The sequence below is a fragment of the Homo sapiens genome, chromosome 7 (genome assembly GCF_000001405.40).
Source record: "Homo sapiens chromosome 7, GRCh38.p14 Primary Assembly".
Classification (NCBI taxonomy): domain Eukaryota; kingdom Metazoa; phylum Chordata; class Mammalia; order Primates; family Hominidae; genus Homo; species Homo sapiens.
In genome coordinates this window covers 70,546,620-70,574,411 of record NC_000007.14, presented here as the reverse complement: position 1 = coordinate 70,574,411, position 27,792 = coordinate 70,546,620, and the positions used below count along the sequence as shown (strand labels likewise).

Sequence of the window (27,792 nt, the reverse complement as noted above, 5' to 3'; positions counted from 1 at the left end):
GGATCTTTAGAAAAAAGACATACGGGTAGAAACTCCAAGGGATTCTATTCAAAGATCGTTGGCACATGGAGCCCAGAGCTCTCTCTGCAGGGACCTTCCAGGTGTCTTCTGAATGTGAAATGCTTTTTTTAAAAAAGACCTTTTTTCAGATGTTAGTAGAGATTGGCATTGCTGGTCTCCTTTCAACTTTTTAAAAATATATACTCCCAAGAAAGCAGGGGTAAGATGCCCCCTTACACAGCCCTTGGGGAATGTCAGATGGTAAAGACTTTGTTGGTAATTCCCCAACTGCTATGGGGGTAGGGGAACAGGATTAGATCTTGGCAGCCTGTTGCTGAGGCACATTTTAAGGAAAATGGAAAACGCCATGGTAGAAGCATGACCTCTCCCCCAGGCCTCCCAACTGCACAGCCAGGCTCACAGACATACACCTTCATGGAGAAACAGGGGCTGCTTCAATGCATATCCCCCAAATTTCAGCAAGATCTGGATGATGCACGATATGTTTATTTAGCAAGAAAGACCAGGAGTGTATGGAACCACAAAACATAATTAATGCATTCTTTGGAGAAAACCAAGCATTTTTCAACTAAGTTCCCCTTAAAACTAGTTATGCAATGGTGTTAAAAAAAAAAAAAAGCTTTTTGCTCAGCTAAGTTTCCTACTATATTAATCTCATTATCCTTTGAACCGTTTAACTGGCAATGCCAAACCCAATTTGTATTCTGCAGCAAAGCGAATGCTCTAAAATGATTATCCCAATATGAACCGTGGCAATCCTTGATATTGTTGGGTCTGAAAGGCCGTCTAACCACTGAATACTGTTCCCATATGCCTTCTGAGTTTCATGACACAATGTTGCGTCTGCTTTGCAAGGGATAAATTAAGCGTGTGAAAGTCTTAGCAAAGCCCTCATTTTCCAGTTAATCAAATCTCCCCTAATCAAATTAGCACACATAATTCCTCTGGATGCATGGCACAAAAAGTGCATTATCCCCTTCTTTGGAGTTGAAAGGGAGAAAACAGCGTGGTGCCTTTCTCCTTTGCTTGAGTGGGCCTAAATAGAGGAGTTCTTCAGAAAGACAGGTCGAGGTAAACTTTGGCAGCATTGACGTTCCCAGCTCATTAAATCCACTGCGTCTGTGGCCACCTCCGGGGACCAGTGAAGCATTCTGTAATGAGATACTTGTTTAATTTTCCTTCAAAGGCTGGACATCTGTGACAAACCTCCCCATTCCAACCCCACACAGGCAAATCTATCAATAGGCCTAAGGCCTCTATCTAGTTTGATGGAGTGTTTTCCATGAATAAACCAGATAATAAATTTTGAGGAGAAAGGAACAATTGCCATTAACTCCGTTCTCTCCGAAGAGTCGAAGTCCATCATGAAAATTCAATAGCGGCTAAGCTAAATGGATAAATGTTCACAGTCAACCTTTTTTAATTGATTTCCCTTCATGAAATGATCTAGTCTCTGAAGCTAGCCGTCCCAGAGCCCCTCTTTAACCTTTCTTTTCATTCCAAATACATTTAGAAGCACTGAACAAAAAGGAATAGCTAAAATATTAATCTCCCTTGAGAGCAAAGGCCCGCAACAGACCAGATTTTCAGATCAATCCCCAACAGTGCCCGTGGCCTACAAAAGAATGAAACACACTTTTAGCTCTATTCAGTGTGGCACCGATTCTGACCTTTATTGAAAACCAACCACCACATCCCGACACTGGCAGGGACTAGAAAGCCTTTCTTACATAATAGGAATTCAGTGCAGATATTGTTAGGTCTCGGCTGCACAGTCACTTCTGCTTATTCCATAATGAGGCCTGGAACATGCATAATGAAAGCTGTCTCAACAATATTTTAACTTTAATGCTTTATTATGTCTAAGAATATGTTTTAAGTAGTAATATTTCACTCTCGCCCCCCCTTTTCCTGCCTCCCCACCCCCACCCCCCATCCCTGCCTTCTCTTAGACTCCATTTGCTGGAACCCTTCAAAGGCACATGAAATAAGCTATTATGATTCCTGCCATTTCAACAGCATGTAAGGAATTCATTAGAAGCAAGTTTCAGGACCTGGCTATTTGCCGTCCACAAAGGTGACCCTGTATTTCCCCTCCTAAAACATGAGTATGCCCCTCCTCCACCTCCCTCCCACCTCGTCTGCATCTGCCAGCACCCTGGATCACTTCACATGCCAGGCATCCGCCCAAGCCCGCGGCATGTGTCACGTGGGTCTGCTAGCACCGCCTCTGTTCTCTGGGCTGCCATAGCTAGGCCAAACGATGCCATGGGAACTCGAATGCATAACAATAGAAAATTCATAAAATCGCCATGGCTCCCCATCATATGCCTGAATTACTTCTAAATTTGACAAATATATAAGCTGCCTGCAGATGTTCCTCTCATATATTTTATTGCAAATAAATGAAATGGACAAGTTCCCCCTGTGGAACACACAGTCATTAATACCCCAAAGCTGCTCTGCACCGGACTGGATCGTTCCCCTAACAGGATCAGATTCCCTCCAAGTCCCACCTCATGATGGCTGCTAGAACAGAACAGGAGGGAGGGTGTCCTCCTGCTTCACCCCTGCAAAGACGTGACTGCCCTGTGCATCTGGAACAGAGGCCTGTGGAGTTTCCAGGGCTGACACGTCCTCCCCTTGCACACCTCATGGCAGCTGGGCTGAGATTTCCCCAAGGCTCCTCCACAGAGGCGAAAGTTTCCCAGCTCCAGTTTGAAGCTGAGAAGTGGAAGCCCAGTTTCCACACTGATTCCCTGAGCAGGAAGCTGAGAATGTGAGAGTGAGTCACCTTTTGTGGGCCAAAGTCTGTTTAAACATCTCCTTATTGACTCTAGTGAAAAGTCAGAAAACCATGGGGGTTTATGTAACTCCCAGCCTTCTCTCCCATCAAACTGGTCTTCCATCCTGTCCTGTACCTTTCCAAGGGTAAAATGAAAATACATTTCACAGAACACTGAAGATGGGGTGGGAGTTATATGGCACAGCTAGGTAATTAACATCTATCAAGTTCCTTCCATTTGCCAGACACTGTGTTAGGCACTTTACTTCCCTTTTTTCTTCTTTGATCCTCCCAACAACCTATAAAGCAGATATCACTTACCTCACTTTATAGGCAAGAAAATCAAGTCACAGAGAGAAATCCACCCAAAGTTCTACTTCTAGCGAGCCTTCAATCTCAAGTTTGTTTGTGGTTATACCTAACCTCTTTCTTCTAATCTTTATTGCTCATCTAGCTCAAAGGGTTTGGGTCAATGCTGATAACAATGTCAAACATTGTGCTTTTATTCATGCACTCGTCCTACAAATATTTACTGGGTATGTATACTAAATATACTATACATTGTAAGGCTTGCCATTCTAAAGGACCTACGTGGTGGAGGAATAGCAAAGGCAGCCAAAGAAGCTTGACAGGGCAGGGTGTGTTCAGCAAATGTGTGCATGGGGCCTTAGAGAGGTGGAGAAGAAACAAAGCAGGAGGCAAGACTACAAGATGGTGGACAGACATATTGTCAAGGGCCTTGGGTGCCCCTGTACACTAAGGAAACTGTGCTTGGTCATAAGTCAACAAGAGGTAGAGAGTGAAAGACAAGAGATCAGATGGGAGATGGGAATGCAACAGGAAGATGCAGTAAGGTCACAGAAGAGAGGGAGGAGGACACAAAATAGAGACCATAGAGAGTATAACCTGGAAAAAGAATGGGAACCCCAGCTGGGTCCACATAGTCTTAGCAGGACACAGAGAAGGGTAAAGGGGAAGGTGGCTGTCATGAAGTTAAAGGAACGTTCAGTGGGAGTGAAGGCATAGGAGAGGTGAAAGCAGAGAGGAGGCTGGTCAGATGGTGAAGGAGAGTTCAAAATCTTATAGGTGGACCCCTTTCTGAGTAAAGATGAGATTGAAGGTTTGGTCGTTTGTGTCGATTCTGAAACAGCAAGGATCTTCACTGAATATGAAGAAGTCAATTAATCACTTTAACACAAGGTTTCCCAGGGTGCAAGTTCTCTTTACACAAGTCCAATATAGTGTGTTGAATAATGCCTGGCTTTAGAATACCTACAGACAAGATGCTGGGGGAAGGAAGGACTCTGGAGAAGGAAACACCTACAAAATGGGTCCAATCATCTGAGCTGACAACCAAGCCCAACCACCTCATTCAGGAGTGAGCGAGGATTTAAACTTGTATGAATCATAACTTACCTCTTTCTAGGCCAGACCTGCCTAACCTACTGTCATGGCCAGAGCACTCAAACTGGCTGCACTTTCATCCAGGTCTCCCTGGACTAAGATTTCCAGACACGTTCTGATTAAAACAAGGTATAAGCACAGCTAACACGGCTTCCTATCCGAGGTTCCTAAATGAGTTTCTGAGAAAGACCTCATCTTTCCTTCTCAGGTTTGAACCATCTCATTATCTGAGGCATCTTCGTTAGCTGCCGAAGAGTTTTAACAAGTTTCTTGAGTTTTGTTTTGGGAGAAAAAAAAAAGAGGGGAACGGAGACAAGTACCAAAATAACCAGCTTTAACAAATGGCTACTGGTTTAAAAATAGTGCAGGGGTTTACGTTTTTGCCTTTATCTCAGTGGTTGACCTTGCTAATACAGTATGTAGATCTCTTGCCAACTAATCGGCCAACTGTAAAGCATGGCTTCAAGCTGTGGTCAATGATCTGTAACAGGAATGAATGAGAGGGTTTTAGCAGCCAGGATCTGTAGCCTACTATCTGTATCTGACAGCTGTCACCCTCTCTGCAGAGGCCAAGGCCTAGACCTTCATTTAAAAGCAGCATGGCTGATCAGATTACTGGGACAGTGTGTCAAAACTGACTGTGCTGAACTAGGGAGACAGAAAGTAAATCTATAAATAGCAGTCTTGCTGCCTCCATGAAGCACTGAAGGGTAACCAATATTGAGCAGCAAATGCAATGTTTAGTCTTTGCAGCCGGTGGGATACAAGTGCGGCCAGATCAGAAGTCTTGCTCTATGATATAATGTAATGGAAAGATCGGCTTTATGGGCAAGAATTTAAAAGAGTTACATTCTTGGCAATGGTAATGGTCGCAGAACAATAATTGGTTTGAACCAACTTTATGAGCTAACAAGGTTCCCTAGCACTTAATAATGTCCTCAGGGCACAGGGACTCAGCAAGTCACCTTTCCCATAACGTGCTGGCTGCCTGTTTCTGACAGTCCATGGGGACCGCCAGTGCTGAAACACAGAGAGTGATAAAATAAGAGGCTCTCCATTTGATATCTATTATAGATGTCAACTGGGTCTTCAACCAGAACAGCTGCACAAAGTACTTGGGGAGAGCGGAGCATCGTGAGGGTGAGTTATCTATAGACCATGCTGATAGCACGGCTCAGACACTGGACATCACTGGGTTATAAATGAGCCAGCTGACATTTTTATAGTATGTACCAACTCTTCCAAGAACCATTTGTCACTCTTCAAGGTTTCCGCTGATAAAACTGGGATGTCTAAAAATTTGTCAACAGCCACAGAAAGTAACCCTGAGGTCATGTCAGAGGGTGAAAAAGAATGTGCTTACTTGGCATTCTGCAAACACACAAATGGAACACTGGTGGCGACAGTGTTTCAAAGGTCTCTCCAGGTGGCAGAGTTCCCAGTTGGCTCTGGTCTCCCTGCCAAGGATGTGGACATGGAGATGGTGGATTCAGGAGCAGTGCATGATAACCAAGCCCTCACATACCTGGTCTGAACGAGAGACCTCAAACCCCAGCACAGCCACTGGGGCCTTGCAGATGAAGGAGACAGGTGTCCTGTGTGCCCACTTGAGAACAGTCCTCACTGCGATGGAGAAGATGGGGATGAGGCAAGTGATTTTTTTTTCCCCCAAAGTGCATCCAATTGCCCTGGCTCTTCTGTAAAAAGTTCACCTTGAACACTAAATTTCAAAAGTAGTAAAAACATTTAAAAAAGTAACAACTGCGAACACTTTAACACACCAGGCATTGAGAGCTTTATGTGTATATCCCATTCAATCCTCACAATCTGAAGAGCTAGGTACTCCCGTTATCCTTATTTTACAGATTAAAACCTGAGATACAGAATGGTTAAGGAAACTGCTCAAGGTCACACAGTTAGAGGAAAAGTCAGGATTCAAATTCAGGCAGGCTGGCTCCACAGCTAACACATGAACTCACATATTCCCCATAAAACAGTCTCCCCAAGAAGACACTATATTAGAAAGTGAACATGTGCAAAGAAAAGACCAAAGTGACTTATTCTGAACTATGTAGGAGTCAAAACATGAAGAAGAAAACAAAAAAGACCATCTGCTCCGATGGCTCTATGACTCCGAATAAACTCTTTCTGCAACATTTGCTAAGCATACATTTCCTAAGCACCTCTATCTCCAGGTACCATGTTAAGCTGAGAGGTACTAAAGTGTGTGAGAAACAGACTCTGAGAAACCCAGTCTAGTGTTGTTGCTCATATGGTGCCTCTATTCTGGAGATCCTAGAGAGCTATACCCTCACTGGCATTTGCTTTGGCCTCTTCAGACATTAAAAAACAGCTTTACCTAAAGAACACACCTGGGGGGTCAGGGCACACTGTGGGAGGAGCGCCCTTAGTGCAGTTCCCAGGTCCATGGAAAACAATCACCAGGAAGTGCTTTGAACGAAAATGAGTTGATGAACCCTCAAGCTAACACTCAGGCCTCCCTACGCCATTGCTGCTGGCCATTTTGGGGCTTCTGCCGGCACTGTGTACTGCCCAGAGAGTGGAATGAGCCCAATTAAAAAGTCACATGTGTTCCCTGGCTTTAAAAGTGACACACTGGTTTTCTGTCACTATCTCTTGGAATCACTGATGCTGGAGCTGTGAGGGATAACTAGAGATCATTTAATTCAACCTCCTTTATTTAATGGATCAGAAAAGCAGGGCCCCCAAAAGGTTAAGTGGCTTGCCCAAGGACAAAGAGCCAGAGAGTGGCAGAACCAGGATAGGACCCAGGTCTGGGCACTCTCAATGGAAATTTTTTTTGATGACCCCATACTGCTGTCCATGGAATGGATGCAGTACTCTGAAATCAGTAAATTCAATCAAGTCAAATGTATGTTTTGAAAAAAGTCAAGAATGAAGAAATAGAGTTTGAAGAACATTCAACATTCATGAGGTGTGCCCATTTCAGGTCACTGGAGACATTTCTCTGGTGCAAAGGTTTTCCTAATAAAGGGTTTCATTGGCCAGTTGGATCGAGACATGAACACACTGATATTTTGCTTCTAGCAATACCTTAAACCCCCAGTTAGGCAAGTATAAAAAACGGCAATGGCCTTGAGAGTGCAGCATGGTTTATACATGGCATACACATCTTTGAGGATTTGGAGAAATCTACAAGGGATCCAATGCTTTTCCACCTATTGACATTTACAAAGCAGTTTAAATCATGCATGAGAGGCCTCAGGCACATGCAGTTCACAAAACATAACTCTGAGCTCCCAGGGAATTTAAGCTGACCAACACTCTTTATTAGAACCGACAGTGAAAGACAGCTATTGCGAAATTCGTACCAGAAATGCAATACCAAGATGACAGCCTTAATGCCAGTGGATATATTATGTAGATTACCTGACTCAAATCTTTCTTGTTAAATAAGTTTCATGCATTCTTTTTTTCTCCTCAAGAATATCCTTCTGGCTTCACTGGAGGAGTATTCCTTAAGTTCCTTGATCATTCATCTGTTTTTCAATATTTTGGACATGCTAACTTAGCATGAAAGATCAGATAGAGATATTTAAACAGTGGGAAACAGTTAAACCTTTAAATGAACAACAGACCTGAACCACAGATTAAATATTTCAATGCTATTTTTTTGTATAATGTTCCAATATTTAATAGTTTTTAAAAAGAAACATTTTCCTAAGGCCGATCCATTCCAGATACTCAATTCCCATGTAATCTAAGATTATACACATATAAAAATGTAATTATACATTAAAGATACTTTCATCTGCATGCTTTTACAGGACAGGAATTTCAAGGAAATAAGTTCCCAGTAGAAGCTGGCCAGGGACAAAAGACAAGAAATACACCTTTCCTCTCCCATCTTCATAGAAATTGAAATACAATGTAAATGTTTTAAATTCTGCTTGACTAGGAGACAGAAGGAAGAGGTCAACATGACTAAGACCAGAAAAGGAAGTCTGTTGGTAATTTGGCACTGGTGACAATTGGCCAAAGGCAAATTTGGCAGAGGCTGAATTAGAGTGAAAGTGCTATTATTTGGAGGTTTCTTGGTTTCTGAATGGATCGGATTCTTTGCTTCATATTCTGGACCTTCCAAGCTGCCTCAATCTTATGCACACAGTGTTAAATGTTATCAGTACTTAAGTGGCAGCACGGTCGTCTTCCTTTTCTATGCAACACAGTCACAGTAAATTAAAGCAGCTCCATACACGCTTCTGTAGTTAAGGTTCACATCCCTTGGAATGTGCTCAGTGTTTGTGTACAGTATGTATCAAGCTACCTTGAACTTGCTTGTCTATTGTATTCTAATAGTTACAACAAAGGGTTCAGAGTCCATGAGCACAAAGCTCTGTCTATAGTCTCAGGAAATTATATGCTATTCTCATACAATTATTAATATTTTTCAAGTATATGGAAATGCTTCAATGATCATTAAAATATATTTTCTTTTTAAAAGCAAAGCTGAATTCATAGTTATTGATTGTTTGATGGATTGACAGTGTCTCGCTCTATCACCCAGGATGGAGTACAGTGGTACAACCCTGGCTCACTGCAGCCTCAACCTCCTGTGCTCAGGCAATCCTGCTGCCTTAGCTTCCTGAGCAGCTGGGAGTACAGGCATGCACTGCCACACTGGGCTAATTTTTGTATTTTTTTGTAGAGACAGGGTTTCCCTATGTTGCCCAGGCTGGTCTTGAATTCCTAGGCTCAAGCAATCCTCTCACCTTGGCCTCCCAAAGTATGAAATTACAGGCCTGAGCCACTGCTCCCTGTGCATAGTAACCTTCTATTCCTTTTTTTAAATGAACAATTTCCATAAAAGTAGAGAGAACTGTATAATAAACTGCTACCTACCAGCACTCAGCTTCAACAATTATCAACTCATGGCCAGTCTTATTTCATCTACCCATTCCCACTACTCCCACCTTTCCAGATAATTTTAAAACAAATCCCAGACATATCATTTTATGCACATGTATCTTAAATGTGCATTTTGTACTTTTAAAATTACAAGATAATAAAGGTAAACTATTACTATGTAGAGTTCTAATTTTTATTTATTTATTTATTTTTTGAGACAGAGTCTCACTCTATCGCCCAGGCTGGAGTACACTGGCACGACCTCGGCTCACTGCAACCTCTCCCTCCCGGGTTCAAGCGATTCTTCTGCCTCAGCCTCCTGAGTAGCTGGGACTACAGGCGAGCACCACCACCCCCGGCTAATTTTTGTATTTTTAGTAGAGACAGGGTTTCACCATATTGACCAGGCTGGTCTTGAACTCCTGACCTTGTGATCCATCCGCCTCGGCCTCCCAAAGTGCTGGGATTACAGGCGTGAGCTACCGTGCCTGGCCTAATTTTTTTAATATTTAAAAATTATCCTCGTACTAAAAAAACCTCACAAAAACCAAACTAAATGACTACTTTGCTAGAGGCTTTGATGGATCACAATAATATGTTCAAGAGCAGAGAATTTCTAATTCCTTTATAACCACCAGAAACTAACAAGCTGTGAGTAGCTGGTGTTCAGTGAATGATTTTCAAATGATTTCTTGACTGATACCCACTATATGCAAACATAAATAAACTGCATTATTGTAATCAAAGCCCAATGGTGAATATATTAATAGACTAAGCTTGAAATGAAACCACCTTAAAAAGAGTTATTGTTGGTGTTAAATAAGAGCTGTATCATGTATCCTGTAATCTAAGTAGTAAACCTAATTGCCCAGCCCATAGGCAGGCCACAGTCTTTCAAAAGATGATGATAAAGAAAGTGCAGATATATTTTTATGTGCTGGGTATAAAAACATAGTGGTGATAATTACTCGAGCATCTAAGGTCATGTACAATCTGTTGGTGACCCTTCAGACACTGAGCATGGAGAAGATTGAGGCAGTCTGACACCCTACAATCATCTAAATAAACTTCCAAAAAACTGTCTTCTAAGCTTACAGTTATGTCTTTGAAAAATCACAGCACTGAATGAATTACATGATTGTAATAGAACTGACAGCTGATGAAATAATGCAAGAAAAATAATCTACTAGTGACCTCAGATGAAACCACAAAGACATTAGGCTAATGGAAGTAAAATTGCTCATTGCCTAGTGATTTTACTTTTTTATTATATATTAAAATAAAAAGCCGACTTAAACCTTTCTCAGGATATTGCATTTTGAAACTAACCACAAAATACTTCCAGAAAAGGGGCTTATTTCAGAAAATCCATATGCATTTTGATTTTTTCAAGGGTGAGCAAGCTTTCTATATCACAGGGTAGTTAAATGTGGAAAAAATGGAGCAGCAATATGAAATAAGTGAAGATCATTGATCTGCAATAGTCTATAATTAGCATTTTAAGGGCAGAACACCTGTTTTACTGAGGGAACATACATATGCAGCACACTTCCTCACTGTAATTACGAGAGTGAATGATGTCCTACAGTTTCTCAATTTCCACCGCTTTTCTCTGATTTTCAGTCCTGCAGGTGGGCAGTAAGGCAGCCCATTTGAAAGAATACCTGGTGGGCCCAATCCCTCTCCGCCATCTCCGGGAAGTGAGGCTCTTCTCCTCATTCTCTACCCACTCACCTCAAGGGTGCATGAGGCCAATTTTAATAAAGTATAAACTGGATAATGTCCTGAAGTGAGAAACAGAATCCGTTAAGACAGACAAAACCAGTGACATCTATTAACATCGTTTTCTTTTAAAAAACATTTCTTCTATCAGAAATGAGCTCAACAGGGAAATGGCACATGTAATTGGGAATAATAAAGACAGATGGGATTACTCCAAGATGTCTCATAGCATCATAAAGTCTCTTGGTACTTTGGAAAGGGCTACCACATACCTCCTTCATGTTAACATTAAGTGGTAAAAGTTTAATTTTTCATACTTTCAGAGAATACCCTCACTACGAGGGAGGACCCCCAGTTATACCAGGGAATAAGTATCATTCTTATCTAAGTCCAATCTTCAATGATAAAATCCTACCACTGCCTGAGAGTATGCCTAGCCACTCTCTGCTTGGTGACAGTGAGCTCATTCTTTCCAGAGGCAGTCTATTCCATCTTTACATAGCTCCACTTTTAGATTTTAGTTTTACAATTCTGTCTCCTTGTAGTTTCAGCCCACTTTTCCTAGCTCTACCCTTAAAGATCCCACAAAGTAAGTCTCATCTCTCTTTCACTTAAAAGGCTTTTAAATCCTGCGTTGCAAAAAGTCACTGTATTCCTCAAATCTCTTCTCCATGTCAACATTTCTCGTCATTTCAACAGTTCATTGGACACCGCTCCAAAAATCTCTTAGTTGTCATTTGCTTATTCATTTGTCCATTCATTCATTCATTCCCCAGGTAAACACCTATAGTTATTCCAACTGTTCTTCATAACGCATGGCTTCAGGAATATGTTATTCATTATTTGTTGTTAGTTTATTCATTCATTTGTTCAGCAAACACCGACTGAGCCTCTACCTCTATTAAGTTCCAAGTATTATCCTGGGTACTCTGGACACAAAGAAATAAGGGGTTCCTGGTGACAATCTGGTAGGAACAGTCAGACCTGTGGACATGGAATCATGATGCCACGTGGTAAGTGCTATCCTAGAGGTATGTAAATGAAACAGTGGTGACATAAATGAGCAGAGATTCTAAGATCACTTCCAAATACTTTATAATCTACTGGCCTATCAATACAGACCCTGACATAAGCTACTATTCCACCTGGAGTGAGTTTTTTCAGTAGGAGTAACGGGTTGTACTGCTGTAGCAGACATTGTTAGTTGTCGACCCTGGCAGCTTGTCATCCTTCATTCTCTGTTATTAGAAAACATCAACTTTGTTCAGGTAGGAAAGTGACATGTGTCCAGGCCAGGAGATAACCAAGTGGTCTAATCTATATTTGCTAGTGACTGGTTTGTGGCACCCATGTGTATTTGTCCATTTTGTGCTGCTATAAAGGAATACCTGAGGGTGGATAATTTATAGAGAAGAGGTTTATTTGGCTCATGGCTCTGCAGCTTGTACAAGAATTATGGTGCCAGCATCTGCTTCTGGTGAGGGCTTCAGGGAGTTTTACTCGAGGCAGAAGGCAAGGGTAGTCAACAGGGCACGTGGTGAGAGGGGAAGAAGTGCCAGGCTTTTTTAAACAAGCAGCTTTTGTGTGAACTAGTAGAGTGAGAACTCATTCATTACCACAGGGAGGACACCAAGCCGTTCATGAGGGATCCACCCCGTGACCCAAACACCTCCCAGCGCCCACCTCGAACACTGGAGATGCAATGTCAACAAAAGATTTGAAGGGAACAAGTATCTAAACCTTATCAACACGTGACCTAGTTCTGGCTATTATCTGTAAGGGGCAATCTGCTGCAGGACCCCCGGAAAGGATTTTCCTTCCTGCTAAAAAGAAAGACACAATTAAGGAGTAGGTCTGCCCTTTTCCTTCCCTCCTTGGGTATATGGTGTGGAGATACCATGCTTGTAGCCATCTTATCAACCTAACGTAAAGCTTCCTAGGAGTCAGCCTAATACACATCTGGTTACCTCTGACTATCTCATCACTGTTGCTCAGGCTGGAATGCAGTGGATTATAGTTCACTGCAGCCTCAAACTCCTGGGCTCAAGCAATCCTTCCACCTCAGCTTCCTGAGTAGCTGGGACTACAGGTGCGTGCCACTATGCCAGGCTAATTAAAAAAAATTTTTGTAGAGACAGGATCTTGCTATGCTGCCCAGACTGGCCTCAAGCTCTTGGCCTCAAGCAATCCCACCACAGCCTCCCAAAGTGCTGGGATTACAAGTGTGAGTCCCTGTGCTTGGCCCTATGGCTACCCTATGGCTACTTTGGATGAGGCATTCTATTACTTGCAGCTAAAAGCATCTCGACTGGTACAGAGTCTTTGGAGCAAGTGCCTTGGTGACAGACTGGTTGAGATGAGGGGTTCAGTTCTTACTGGTAAAACAAGAGACAACTGATGAGTTTGGAGAGGGAGCCTGTGATCTCACATGCTAAGATTTAGAAAGGAAAAATGAAAACTAAAGGAAAATTATTAGATGATGATGACAGTTCAGCCCTGCTTTGGAACTTCTCTTCCAAACCAGGGAAGTGAGAGACAATTCATCTTGCTTTTTTTCACAGACACAAACTTTTAAAACTTTATGGGGTCATATTTGTCTAAAGTAAAAAGGACCAATACGATGATTTACATCCTAAAAAGTAAAAAGAATGATTGTAAGCCAAAGCTTTCAATCTTCTGATCTATCTGCTTTTACTTGATTTTGCCACTTTCAAGAATGTAATCAAATCCACTAAAAATTTCAACTATATTTGCCTGGTGTGAGATTATTACACGTTGTTTCAGTCCTCAATCAGAGGACAAAATTAGAAGTCAAACAAAAGTTCTAGGAAAAACAAAAAAGGAGACACCTAGCAGTGAAGCAAAATAAAGATGAGGTTTCAAGGCTAATGCTGGAAGCCTTATAGCTTGAAATAATAATCTATCCTGGATTTCACAAAATATTAAGAAAATGAATTCTTCTGCTTTCTCTAGTTGGCACCTAAGTGTAACTTTGAGAAGATGAAATTTGTTCATTTATGAAGTGTTAATAATTGAAAAATGCTTTTGATAGAAAGTTTATTAGAAAGCTTAAAAAATAACCCTGTTGTTTTAAAACTCCATTTCCAACATTTGCTTCCAGCCCAAACATATTCCTTCATTCATTCAATTGATTTTCCAATGGAAGACCATTGGAGGCACATCAGATATAGCAGCGAATATGACAGACAAAACCCCTGTCCTTGTGGCACCAACACTTCAATGGAGCAGACAGGCAGTAAGTAAGTGAATATAGATGTATATGGATGTGTGGGTGTGTCTGTCTAAATGTTGGCTCAGTGCTGTGAAGAAGAGCAAAGCTGGATAAGTAGATAGAGTGATTTGGGGTGGGGGATGTACTGTTGTTGTTTTAATAGGGTAGTCAGGGAAGTCTCTCCAAGGAGATGACATTTGAATGAAGTGAGAGAACAAGCCAAGCGACCATCTATATAACGGGATAGAGCATTCAGGCAATGGAACCAATCTCTGTGGTGCAAATTAGCTCAGCTTGTTGGAAGGCCAGACCAAAGGCCAGCGTGACTGGAGCAGAGTAGTGGGAGACGAAGTCAGAGCAGTAGGCAGGCTCACAGCAGGGGAAAGACCTTTGTTCTAAGTGTGGTGTGAAGCCAGTGGTGGGTTTTGAGCATCCTGGCCTCTCAGTTCCTTGAACTCTTTGCAGCTAATGGTTTGGAAATCACAATTTTGAAACTGACATCATTATAGGTAGTGACAAGACGTAGGGCATAACAATGGGAATGGGGGGCAGAGGTGGATAAAGGAAAGACCACTGGAGGTAAGGAGGTTAGGAATCCAGAGGCCTGGGGCTCAGATGAGCTGCTCATGTCATTGCTGAGTTTAATGGAAGGAAAGGAGTGAGTCGGTGCTAAAATCTTCCACAAATGATGTTGAGACTGGGAAGTAAAGAAAGAGTAGAAGCTGGCTGGGAGTGGTGGCTCACACCTGTAATCCCAGCACTTTGAAAGGCCAAGGCAGGTGGATCACTTGAGGTCAGGAGTTTGACACCAGGCTGACCATATGGTGAAACCCCATATCTACTAAAAATACAAAAATTAGCTGGGTGTGGTGGTGTGTGCCTGTAGTCCCAGCTACTTGGGAGGCTGAGACAGGAGAATTGCTTGAACCCGGGAGGCAGAAGTTGCAGTGAGCTGAGGTCACACCACTGCACTCCAGCCTGGGTGACAGAGCAAGACTCCGCCTCAGAAAAAAAAAAAAAGAAAGAAAGGAAGGGTAGAAGCCATCAGATCAGATGGTGTGTTAGTCTGTTCTCACGCTGCTAATAAAGATACACTCAAGATTGGGTAATTTATAAAGAAAAAGAGATTTAACGGACTCACAGTTCCACATGGCTGGGGAGGCCTCACAATCATGGTAGAAGATGAGGGAAGAGCAAAGGCACATCTTACATGGCGGCAGGCAAAGAGGGAGCATGTGCAGGGAGACTCCCTTCTATAAAACCATCAGATCTCGTGAGACTTATTCACTATCACGAGAACAGCACAGGAAAGACCCACCCCTGTGATTCAATTACCTCCCACCAGGTCCCTCCCACAACGTATGGGGATTATTACAATTCAAGGTGCGATTCAAGGTGAGAGCCAAACCATATCAGATGGCATGGCCTATCAGATGGCATGGCCTTCAAAGGTGAAACAGGAATAATGTCTCTACATTTTGCAAGGAAAGCAAAAGACCCTTGTCCCTGGGCTTCACTCCACAAGAATATTTGTCTACAGCAACACGTTACATTCATAAGATGCAATGTTTCCCATCTAGGAATGAAGAATAGCACATAGTCTGACAACCTAGAAAGGAAATAGGATGAATAAACTTTTAACTATTTTTCTCATAAGTACATTTTCACCTCACATATTTGATGCTATTCAGAAATGAGTTGTTCTACAGTAGCATATTTTTCAGAAAGCTGAGGCTTACACCTTTAAGTAAAACACTTAACTATATCAAGAGCAATCTCCCCTGCTTCCATACAAGTTTCCCACACTTGGTTACCTCGAGCTTTATTTCATCTTCTCTTGATAACAGGCCACCTTCATGGGGACCAGTCACTGTGCCTGCTCCTGACAGTGGCTGAGATGGAATGCCCCCAGGTGCCCACATGTGGATGTCAGTGCTCTAGGTGCCCCTTCATGGAAGGGTCCCCCACAGCTGCTAGTAAGGAAGTACACAGAGAGAGAGAAGAGCTGGGACAGTTGAAACAGTTTGGTCTTTTCTTGCCACAACAGTTGCTGCTTACTGCTGGCAGCATGAGTGGCGATTTGTTCCTAAATTTTACGCAGAGTATCTGTTCAGGGGCTGGAGGGTAGGGACACCTGGACCAGAGAGCCAAGTGCCTGGGCTTCGGGAACAGCACTTTGCCATTCAGAATCAGGCCCTGTGCACAGTAGGTGCTGTCAGAACTCCAACTTCTGATACAGTGAGGTGTCCCTGTGCTTATGGAAGCCAGGAAGAATACTTGTGGAATTCTTGCCCATCAGCAAGCAGAAAGCAGTGAAGAGTGAAGGTGGGAACGCCATCCCCACTCCACCTGGCTGGGAAGCCTCTTGCAGGATGCAGCTGGGTACAGTTTCATGGAGCAGACTGCAGAGCTTTACTCTGAGTGTTCTTGGCGATTTAGTGAAATATTTCTGCTCTCCTGTGAGCCCTGCACAGACCCCCTGCTCCAGCTCTGGAAGGGCTGCTGGAAGTAGGGCCTGGAGTCATCCTATCGTTGCCTCTCAGCTGGCTGGAGGATGCACACAAACACAAAAGGTGATATTGACAGTCAGCATCAGATCTGACTGCTCCCGACAACTCCTGTGATACAGCAGCCTCCGGGACTTGAGGACACATCTGTGAGGAGATGTAGTAGCTGCCATCTGCACAAACTGCATTATTTAACTGCACTGGCACTGATTAACATTTGCTGTAACCTATGGTAATGGGCTCTGGGGCTTTGCATGTCTGCTACACAGTGGCAGCTGATGTCTCCTGCTCCATCCTTAAAACAGGATGCTTTAATTTTTAATGGAGCACATGTTCGATTGGCTATACAAACAGGCTAATCTGCAAAGCATGTGCTCAATAACAAGCCTGACTATGCCGCCAGAATATCAACATGACTCGGCTAAGCTGGGGAGGAGTGGGTGGGACTCCTGCTCACCTCTGCCAGCCAAGGGCTGGGAGCTGGGAGCACTGGCCAGCTGAAAGTCCAGGGGTGGCTGTGGCCAGAGGCACATGTGACCTCCTCTGGAGACCCCGAGGGTCTTCAGCTTCTGGGTGCCTGCAAATCCTAGCCAGCAGGGAAAAGAACAAAATTGTGCATCCGGCAGGTTCAGGCCTCTAGTGTAAAGCCAGATGTGGCATTAAAGATGAAACTCCCCTCTGCTGCATGGGCATGACTAGAATGAGGTATATGCATCCAATTAGACTTACTGCCCGCCCTGCACTCTGCTCAAGGATGAGAATTTAAAGGCAAATAAAGCACAGTCCTTGACTTAATGAAAACTACACCAATGGCCACAGTGGCAGTGTGAGAAGTGGCATGTTAGGTGTAGGTACAAAGTTCTCTGGGAGCGCACAGGAGGAAGTCAGCCAAGAGGAGACTAGACTAAAGTTGGGTTCTGAAGGATGAGCAGGAGTTTACCAGAAGTACTTTTAAGATGACACCCAGTTATGAAGGAACACAGTGTGTGGGGAAGGGCAAGCAGTTTGAGGCACTAGTATGCAGCTTGAGATAATTACATCAAGGTATCTGGGGAGAAGTTGGACATTTGGATCCAGAACTTAAGGGAGAAGCAAAGGCTAGAGACAGAAAACTGGGTGGTTATCAGAAGACAGGTAATGTTGACACATGGAGCTCTGAGATAAATGGTCTCAAGAGAAGGGATCCAAGGACAGAAGTCTCAGGGCTACCAACATTGAACTTAGGGGATGGTTATAAGAAGTATCTCAAGGGGTGGGTAAAGAAGTGAAGGAAGGGAGAATTCCAGGCATAACAAGAGGCCACAACCTCAAGGCAGTCAAGTAACTAAAGCCTCGAAGACTTGATCACAGCTGCGATTGTCACAACCCAGCAATGACAATCCCAGTCCTTATGAGTATGAAGTGCTTTCACATCTATTATTTCACAACAATACTGCAAGATAGGCAGATGTCACTCTTCCCTTCTTTTCTAGATGAGTGATATAGTTTGGGTATTTGTCCCTGCCTAAATCTCAGGTTAAAAATGTAATTGCCAATGCTGGAGGTGGGACCTGATGGGAGGTATCTGTGTCATGAGGGCAGACCTCTCATGGTTTGGTGCTGTCCTCATAACAGTGAGTGAGGTCACATGAGCTCTGGTTGTTTGAAGGTGTGTGGCATCGCCCCTCTCTCTCTCCCTTGCTCCTGCTATCACCATCTGATGTGCCTACCCCCGCTTTGCCTTCTGCCATGATTAGAAGCTTCTTGGCCAGGCGTGGTGGCTCATGCCTGTAATCCCAGCACTTTGGGAGGCCAAGGCAGGCGGATTACAAGGTCAGGAGATCAAGACCATCCTGGCTAACAAGGTGAAACCCTGTCTCTATTAAAAAATACAAAAAAATTAGCCGGGCATGGTGGTGGGCACCTGTAGTCCCAGCTACTCAGGAGGCTGAGGCAGGAGAATGGCATGAACCCGGGAGGCAGAGGTTGCAGTGAGCCGAGATCGCACTACTGCACTCCAGCTGGGCGACAGAGCGACGAGACTCTGTCTCAAAAAAAAAAAAAAGCTTCCTGAGGCCTCCCCAGAAGCCAAGCAGATACCAGTGCCATGCTTTTATGGCTTGCAGAACCAGGAGCCAATGAAACCTCTTTTCTTTATAAATTACCCAGCCTCAAGTATTTCTTTATAGAGATGCAAAAATTGCCTAACACAATGAGGAAACAACATCAGAGAAGGTTAGACTTCCCAAAGCCAAACAGTTTCAGTCACAGTGGGAGTGCTGGGACTAGAAGGCCACTCTGCAAACTCTCAGCTCCAGACAGGACACTGTGCCAGGGTCCAAGAATATGAGGGTCCCAGGTCCAAGGAGGTAACTCTGGAAAAAGGCTCCCAAGTCAAAATTCTCAATACCATCTCCTCCCCTGGGGTAATCACACAATGTGCTCAGCATACTCAAGGCTTTGAGAAGTTCTGCACTTAAGCATGAGCTACCAATGAAAGCAACCTGTCTAACTTTAACTCACTATTTCCCAAACTTATTTGCTCTTGGAATCCTTTTTTCAAATTTTATCTTTTAACATTCCTAGGAAGAATTCAGGAAATCCTGCTCTAATAAACTCACAGGAATGCTTCCTCCAACAGGGTCTTGGTTTTGAGTGGTTTGTGTCTGGGCAAGATGGGTGGGCACTGTTTTAACCACACACTTTCAGCCATCCATCCCTTCTCTGTCTCCACTGTTCTTTCCAGATACTCTAGTATCTTTCATAGTAAATGACATTTATTTGCTCATGTTTTTCTCTCCATCAGCTAAAGGACATATTTTATCCATCTCTGCATTCACAGTGTCCAGCTCTATTACCTGGCAAAGAACAGGAACCCAGGGAATATTTGCTGAATTGAACTAAAAAATTCTACAGTGGTGGAATAGAGCTAAGCCAATTAACATGTGCTCAAAGCTTCAACCCAGGCCTCCTTGGCACAGTGTTGTCATCACAGGAGGCCAACCGTCCAATGTGACAGCTGATCACTGTCCATCTGGACTGCCACTTGGAGACCTTCAGTGGGTGGGCAGCCTGCCTTTATGAGTCACATAGCTCTGGGTCCTGGACAGCTTTTCAGCCTGTATAGCCCCTGACTGCCCCCCTGGCCTGGCTGCACAGGGCAGCAGATTTTGCTGCTAAGTATCTTCCCCTTCTACCTCCAGGCTGGCTTCTCTGGTGAAACAAAGCCCTGGAGGTAAGAGAAATCTCCCGAGAGGCCAGACTATCCTGGGGCAAAGAGCATCCCTTGGGGACATGCAGTTTATTGATGTTTATGTGTTTTCCCCTGGATGGCAGGGTATTTGGAGGACTTGGGTGGGTTGGGGGTTATTAATAAATGCCCATCCCAGAGTTGAGGTAGTTGAATTGTCAAAAGGCCTTTTTGGTTTGTGACCAGCCTGCATGCATGACCTCGTTTCAAAAAAAAAAAAAAAAAAAAGAAAGAAAAGAAAAGAAAAAAAAGAGGCCGGGCACAGTGGCTCACGCTTGTAATCCCAGCACTTTGGGAGGCTGAGGTGGGCAGATCACCTGAGGTCAGGAGTTCGAGACCAGCCTGGCCAACATGGTGAAACCCCATCTGTACTAAAAATACAAAAATTAGCCAGGCGTGGTGGTACACGCCTGTAATCCCAGCTACTTGGGAGGCTGAGGCAGGAGAATCACTTGAACCCAGGAGGCGGAGGTTGCATTGAGTGGAGATCGCGCCATTGCACTCCAGCCTGGGCGACAAGAGCGAAACTCCGTCTCAAAAAAAAAAAAAAAAGGCCAGGTGCAGTGGCTCATGCCTGTAATCTCAGCACTTTGGGAGGCCGAGGTGGGTGGATCATGAGGTCAGGAGTTTGAGACCAGCCTGACCAATGTGGTGAAACACCGTCTCTACTAAAAATACAAAAAAAAATGAGTTGGGTGTGGTGGCGCGTGCCTGTAATCCCAGCTACTTGGGAGGGTTGAGGCAGGAGAATTGCTTCAACCCGGGAGGCGGAGGTTGCAGTGAGCCGAAATCGCACCACTGCACTCCAGCCTGGGCGACAGAGCAAGACTCCGTCTCAAAAAAAAAAAAAAAAAAAAAAAAGAAAGAAAGGCCTCTTTCTCAAGGTCTCCCAATACAACCTTTAAAGTCTTAAAAAAAAAAAAATCACCTTGCAAATATTTAGCATTACTTGCCCTGTCCCATTTAAAGTGGTTCCTGCTATAGTTGCCAAAGTTGCACAAACCTCTTTCCTGTTCTCACTTGATTTAGCTCACTGGAACAAGTAGACAGTTTTCTGTATTGCCTACAAAGACAGAGTCAACACTTGGCTGCCTGCCTTGTGAGACCTGTGTGTATCATGACCACAGCACAAAAACACTGCCAACAGACCCCAGGAAGAAGGCAGAGGGTTACTCGAATCCAACCCCATGATGCCTCCACTGCCTGTCTTTGTCCTTCCAGGTGCCCAAGTGTCATTTTCCCCCTTGCAGTGGTGTCCTGGTAATAGGTGCTTCATTTTCTTGTAAGATTTCTAAAAAACTGTGGCACATGAACAATGAATGCAATAAAATGAGAATTAGGTTGGCTGGGCTGTGTCTATGCCACCAAATAGAAAAAAAGATGGCTTGGGTGAAGGCTGAATGACCAGAACAGAATGTATCCCCTAAAATACGCACAGGGTCTGTCTGGCTTTTGGGATTTCCACTGCTTACGGTCTCTGCTGACAAGTCCATTCTTCTACAAGTCAGAAACAAGAGAACAGCAGAGCTGATATCCTCATTTGTCAGAGGAGTAAGCTGGGGTCTAGAGAGAGTACGTCATTTGCTCCAGGCCTTCTGCTGGCTCGTGACAGCACCAGTACTTTAACTGCAGTGCTGGGTCTGGCTGGACATATTTCTTTCTAATACACTATGCTATACCTAGTGCTACCAATCTATTTGATTATTCAGATGGTCAACAGGGCTGTGAGGAAAGTGTTTGTGCTGGAAAATTCACATGTTTCCATTATGAGTACCATGGGGGTTGCTTTGACAATATGGCTGAAACTACTTCATTCACTTCCTGTTACTCCAGGAAGCCCACAGGCCTGTTACTGCTTCAGATTTGGGGGATCTGGGCCATCAAGCACTTTAATTAGTCTGTCTGGAAAAATGTAACTGATCAAATTAAATATTAGTCACATATAAACTGTAGGTCTAAATCCGTAGGGGAATCATTAGGCAGGAAGGGCCATTTCTAAATGCAGACCTTTTTTACGAAAATTTTCAAAGGCCTCTCTTCCTGCTCTCTGTCCCCTGCCAAGTAAATTGAGTTCAAAGCAAAAACAAACCTTCTATTTTCCAAGCACAACAACGATGTCTAACCAGAAGTTTCTTTTGCTGAAATATTGAATGGAAAATTCAGTTCCTTAAATCTTTCTAAATCTTTGCCTCTGATTGGGTTCATTAATAAACATGCTGATTTTGTTACAGGGAGAGACATATGGTATAATCCGCTAACAGGAAGAAGTATTTTGCATTTTATTGTAGAAAACAAACATGCAAACAGGTTCTCACAGATGGTTTTCTTAGCTTCTGGGAGGGAAAAAAGCTTAATAATGCTTGAAACTAGTTTTTCTCTTTAACAACAACAAAAAAATCCTTGCACATCTCTAGTGGAACTGCGTATAAATTAGATTAAGTTCCACTCCAAGGTTTTAACAATTTAGAATTCACTTTTTCTCTTGTTTAAACACACACGCACATGCACACGCACATACACACACAAAGATACACATACTCTTTTCCCTACTCCCTCCCCTCTCTTCTCCTCTTCTCTTAAAAATATAGTATTAACTTGCTCAGAGAGGCAGAGATAATTCAGCAATGCTTCACTTATCAATGATCATAAAGGAATAAGGTTTTCTCACAAATAAATTTTCCAGATAATTGATGCTAACCCTTCAAGTTTATCAAAATTGGTAGTGATGGTGGTTTTCCCTTTAAATAGGCTTTCTTTTTAAGAACAATTTTAGACTTCCAGAGAAATTGAGAAGATAGCAAAGAGCATTCCCATATACTTCATATCCAGTGTCCCCTATTACTAAATCTTACATTAGTATGTCATGTGTGTTAGAAGTAATGAACCAATACTAACATAGCACTACTAACTTCAGTCCATAGTTTATTTAGATTTCCTTAATTTGTACTTAGTATCTTTGCTCTGTCCCAGGATCCCATCTAGGGTGGCCCATTACATTTAGTTGTCATGTTTCCTAGGGTTCTTTTGGCAGTTTCTTCAAATTTCCTTGTTTTTGGTGACCTTGACATTTTTTAGGAATATTGAGCTATTCTATAGGAATGCCCCCCTACTGAAACTTGTCTGATGCTTTTCTCATGATTAAGACTGGGTTGAGAGGTTTTTGGGAGGAAGACTACAGAGGTGAAATGCCATTGTTTTCACATTGTATCAATGGTCTGTTCTATTAATGTGATTTGTGACTACTGATATTGTCCTTGGTCACCAGGTTGAAGGTCTCTCCACTGTCAATGGACTCCCCTCCCCCTCCCCTACTACTCTTTGGGAAGGAGCCACTACCTGGAACTCACATTGAGGGAGTGGGGCATTATGCTTCCCCTGCTTGAGGGTGAGGTATCTGTGTAAATTACTTGGAATTCTTCTGTGTGGGAGGTTTGTTCCTTCTCCTCCATTTATTTATTTCTATCAGTATGGAGTCATGGATATTTATTTTATACTTTGGGTTATAATCCGATGCTTCCTTATTGTTTTGCTCTAATTATCCAGGAGTGGCCATTAGCTCTTTCAGTTGGCCTCTGTGTTTCTTTGATGTGCCCCTATCAGTGTGAGTTTTGTTTTTTGTTTTAGGACTTCCTTACTTTCTGGCACCATAACATACTCCAGGTTCATCTTGTATATTCCTGCCTGAGTTCCAGAAGCAACCATTTCACTCAGGAGTCCTAGTTCTTTTTATTGGAGAATGGTAATAGGAACCAAGATCTAGATGAAGGTGTGCTTGTTGACACTGGGGTGTCCGTTTCTTTCAGGCCATCTCAGTTGTCAGGGCACAGAAATACATATGGGTACTAACCCTTTTATATGCACAGATCTGTAAAGATTTCTATATGTGACTATTTGTATCTATGTTAAGCTAAACATGAGCTCATACTGATATTTTTAACTCTAACCCATTACCACATGCATCAGTGTAGCCTCCTCCCTAGTTTATCTGTAAATTCCCACTCCAATAGCAAGAAGCCTGGCTAGATGGTGGGTTTTATTTTATTATTACATACTTATTTTAAAAAAGATTCTTTGATGAGGATCCTCCTTAGAAGCTACAGGAGCTAATGAGTTCTTTCTGCAGCAAATGGGGCTTAACTTCTTTGAGGACACAGGATTATCACAAAAAAAGCACTGTTCAGCTTATTTTTTTTGGCAATCCCCCCATCCTTCAAAGCTTAGTTATTAATCTTCAACTCATAAAACCAGAATCAGAATCCAAAGAGGTGCCGAAGGACTAGAATAATGGGTCGACACTAACATGCTAGAATTTCATAGGGATAATTATAAAGCATTGTACTTGAATCTGATTCATCAGCCACAAAAGAAATGGATGGCGTCACTGGAGTCTTGGCTTGCTCAGCCAATGTCCTCAGACCTTATCAAGTCTGGGGAGTTGCCTTCCACTGACCTACCAGTGGTGCTTTTAAATTCTTGAGCATAAGATTTGTCCCTGTAGGTGTCCAGGAAATATACATGGGATATTTAAATGCATTTCCAATATGCCCCCTCACTATCAGCTACTGTCCTTTCACTTTTTGGCATCCTTTATGTTCAAGTCCTACTTCGTCTCTTCTCTAACACCTTTCCTAAAGTATAGCTGCAAAAACAAAACAAAACCATCAACAAGCTAGAAAACCAAGTGCCAATGCTTTTTAAAACAATAGGTAGACATGAAGATGAGGTTCTGTATAGACCAGAGATCTTCCAGTGGGTTACATAAATGAGCCTGGAGAGTGTGTGGTGTCTACCTTTTCCTACTCAGGGCTCCTTCGTGTTGTTTCAGGGCTTATCTTGTCTGTTCTGGTCAGGTTGCTGAAATAACCACCCACTAAGAGGAGCACTGTGAAACCTGAGTCAATGCGAAGTGGCTTTTTAAAAAATTTTTTAAGAGATAGGATCTTACTCTGTTGCCCAGGCTGAAATGCAATGGCATGATCATAGCTCACTGTAACCTTGAACTCCTGGTTTCAAGTGATTCTCCTGCTTTGGTGCCCCAAAGCTTTGGGATTACAGGTGAGAGCCACCATGTCTGGCTGTAGAGTGGTATTTTTACTTCCTTGCTAATGCAGTCACCCATTCTTCCCTTTGCCTCTGTAAGGCTCATTTAAAATTCCAAAAGTTGCCTCTTTTGTCTCCTCATTGATATCATAAGTATAATCACTGATCTTTGGCATGACTTTGGATGAGTTTTAATTCCTAAAATTCTGTATCAGGCAAGAAAAAGAAAAGTCATCCCATATGGACAAGAAAGAAGCAAAACTGTCTCTATTCCAAGATGCCATGATCCTGTACACGGAAAAATCTGATAAAGGAATTTACAAAACAGCTATTAAAACTAATAAAAAAATTGGGCTGTCATACGATAGAAGACCAATATGAAAATCAATGTTTTTATATACTAGCAATAAACAATTGGAAAAAGAAATTTTAAAAATTTTATTCACAATAACACAAAAGAAGTGCAACACTTGCACACCAAAAACTATAATACATTGTTGAGAGAAATTAAAGATCTAAATAAACGAAGAGATATTCTGTCTTCAAGGGTGAGAAGACTCAATATTGTTAAAAAGGCAATTCTGCCCAAATTGACCTGTGGGTTAAATGTAATCCCTATGAAAATCTCAGCAGACTTTTTTTTTTTTGGGGGGGGGGTAGAAATTGACAAGATGATCCTAAAATGTATATGGAAATGCAAAGGACACAAAGCCAAAACAATCTTGAAAAAGAACAAAATTGGGAGACGCACAGTTCCCTATTTCAAAACATCCTACAAAGCTATAGTAATCAAGACAGCCTGGTACTGACATAAGGATAGACATATAGATCAAAGGAATAGAAATGAAAGTCCAGAAATAAGCCTGTGTATTTATTGTCTATGATTTTTGACAAAAGTGGCAATGCATTTCAAGGGGAAAGAATAGTCTTTTCGATAAACAGTGATGGGGTAACTGGATATCCACATGCAGGAACACAGAACTAGACCCTTATTTCATACCATACACAAAAAAGTACCTCAGCCACATAGATGAATGTAAGAGTTAAAATTATAAAACTTCTTAGAAGAAAGTCTCTGTGACCTTAGGTTAGGCAAAGAGTTCTTAGATATAACAACAAAAGTATGATCCATAAAAAAAAAACTGATAAACTGGACTTCAACAAAATTAAAACCTTTTGTGCTTCAAAAGTCAGCATTACGGATATGAAAAGTCAAGCCACTGACTGGGAGAAAATATTTGCAAATCATATACCCAGGATAATGGACTTATATACAGAATATATACAGAATTCTTACAAGTCTATTAGAAGATAAACAACCCACTTAAAAAGTGGGAAGAAGATTTTAATAGTATTTCATCCAAGAATATGGCTAATTACAAATGAAAAGATGCTCAACACCCTTATTCAGCAGACTTTCGGGGAGGGATGGGGTGCGGGTAGAAATCGACAAGGTGATATGAAAATGTATACGGAAATGCAAAGGAAACAAAGCCAAAACAATCTTGAAAAAGAACAAAGTTGGAAGACGCACAGTTCCCCATTTCAAAACATCCTTAGAGAAATACAAACTACAACCATAATGAGATACCACTTCACGTTCAGGAGGTCAGACAACAGCAAATGTTGGTGAGGATGTGGAGATCAGAAGCACCTAAATTACTGGGGAAATGTAAAATGAAGCTGCCATTTGGAAAACAGTGTGGCAGTATCTTAAGAAAGTTAAACAGAAACTTATTGCATGACATAGCAGTTTCATTCCTAGGTATCTACCAGGAGAAATGAAAACACATGTCCACTCAGCTGTATGTGAGTGTTCACAGTAGCATTATTAATAATAGCCAAAAAAGTAGAAATAATCCAAATGTCCATAAGCTGATGAACAGATAAACAAAACGTGGTATATCCATACAATGGAATACTATTCAGCAATTAACGGAAACAAATTATGGATAAATGCTACAATGTAGATGAACCTCAAAACATTAGGACGAGTGAAAGAAGCCACATGCAAAAGACCACACATTACGGCCGGGCACGGTGGCTCACGCCTGTAATCCCAGCACTTTGGGAGGCTGAGGCAGGCAGATCACGAGGTGGAGAGATCGAGACCATCCTGGCCAACATGGTGAAACCCTGTCTCTATTACAAACACAAAAATTAGCTGGGTGTGGTGGCGGGCGCCTGTAATCCCAGCTACTTGGAAGGCTGAAACAGGAGAATCGCTTGACCCCGGGAGGCGGAGGTTGCAGTGAGCCGAGATTGCGCCACTGCACTCCAGCCTGGGCGACTGAGCAAGACTCAGTCTCCCAAAACAAAAACCCACCAACATTGTATTGTTCCATTATATGAAATGTCCAGAAAAAGCACATCTAGAGAGATGGAAAATAGGTTCGTGGCTGCCTTGACCTGGGAGTGGTAATGGGGACTAACTGCAAATGGGCATGAGGGATTTTACTGGAATGATGAAAATGTTCTAAAATTGAATTGTGGCAATAGTTACACAACGCTATAAATTTACTAAAAAATCACTGAATTATACACTTAGTACGGGTGAATATTACGGCATGTAGATTATATTTGAATAAAGTTGTTAAAACGAGCTGGTAAGAAACATAAATCTGATTTGAAAAGAAATCAAACACACAAAACAACAAAGCAAAAGAAAACAAAATCTAAAATTAAGCTGCACAGGCATGCACATCTGTGGGTAATGCCCACATAAGACGTCTTTGGATTTCAAACTATCTACAGTGGCTCTCTCTGGCTGTACCTGAATGATTTTTTTTTTTTCTTTTTTTTTGAGACAGAGTCTCGCTCTGTCGCCCAGGCTGGAGTGCAGTGGCATGATCTCAGCTCACTGAAAGCTCCACCTCCCGGGTTCATGCCATTCTCCTGCCTCAGCCTCCCCAGCAGCTGGGACTACAGGTGCCCGCCACCATGCCCGGCTAATTTTTTTGTA

At 42.6% G+C, this 27,792-nt stretch overlaps 1 protein-coding gene and 1 long non-coding RNA gene across 26 annotated transcripts in view; both read right to left on the bottom strand.

The window, feature by feature from the left end:
• AUTS2 (activator of transcription and developmental regulator AUTS2) overlaps window positions 1-27,792 on the bottom strand; it is a 1,195,032-nt gene that overhangs the window by 219,095 nt on the left and 948,145 nt on the right. The window lies entirely within an intron of this gene.
• On the bottom strand, window positions 492-26,883 carry LOC124901669 (uncharacterized). Its single transcript, XR_007060376.1, has 2 exons — window positions 2,538-26,883; window positions 492-1,172 (listed from the first exon to the last, which is right to left on the bottom strand). It is a non-coding gene; the product is annotated as an uncharacterized LOC124901669 (long non-coding RNA).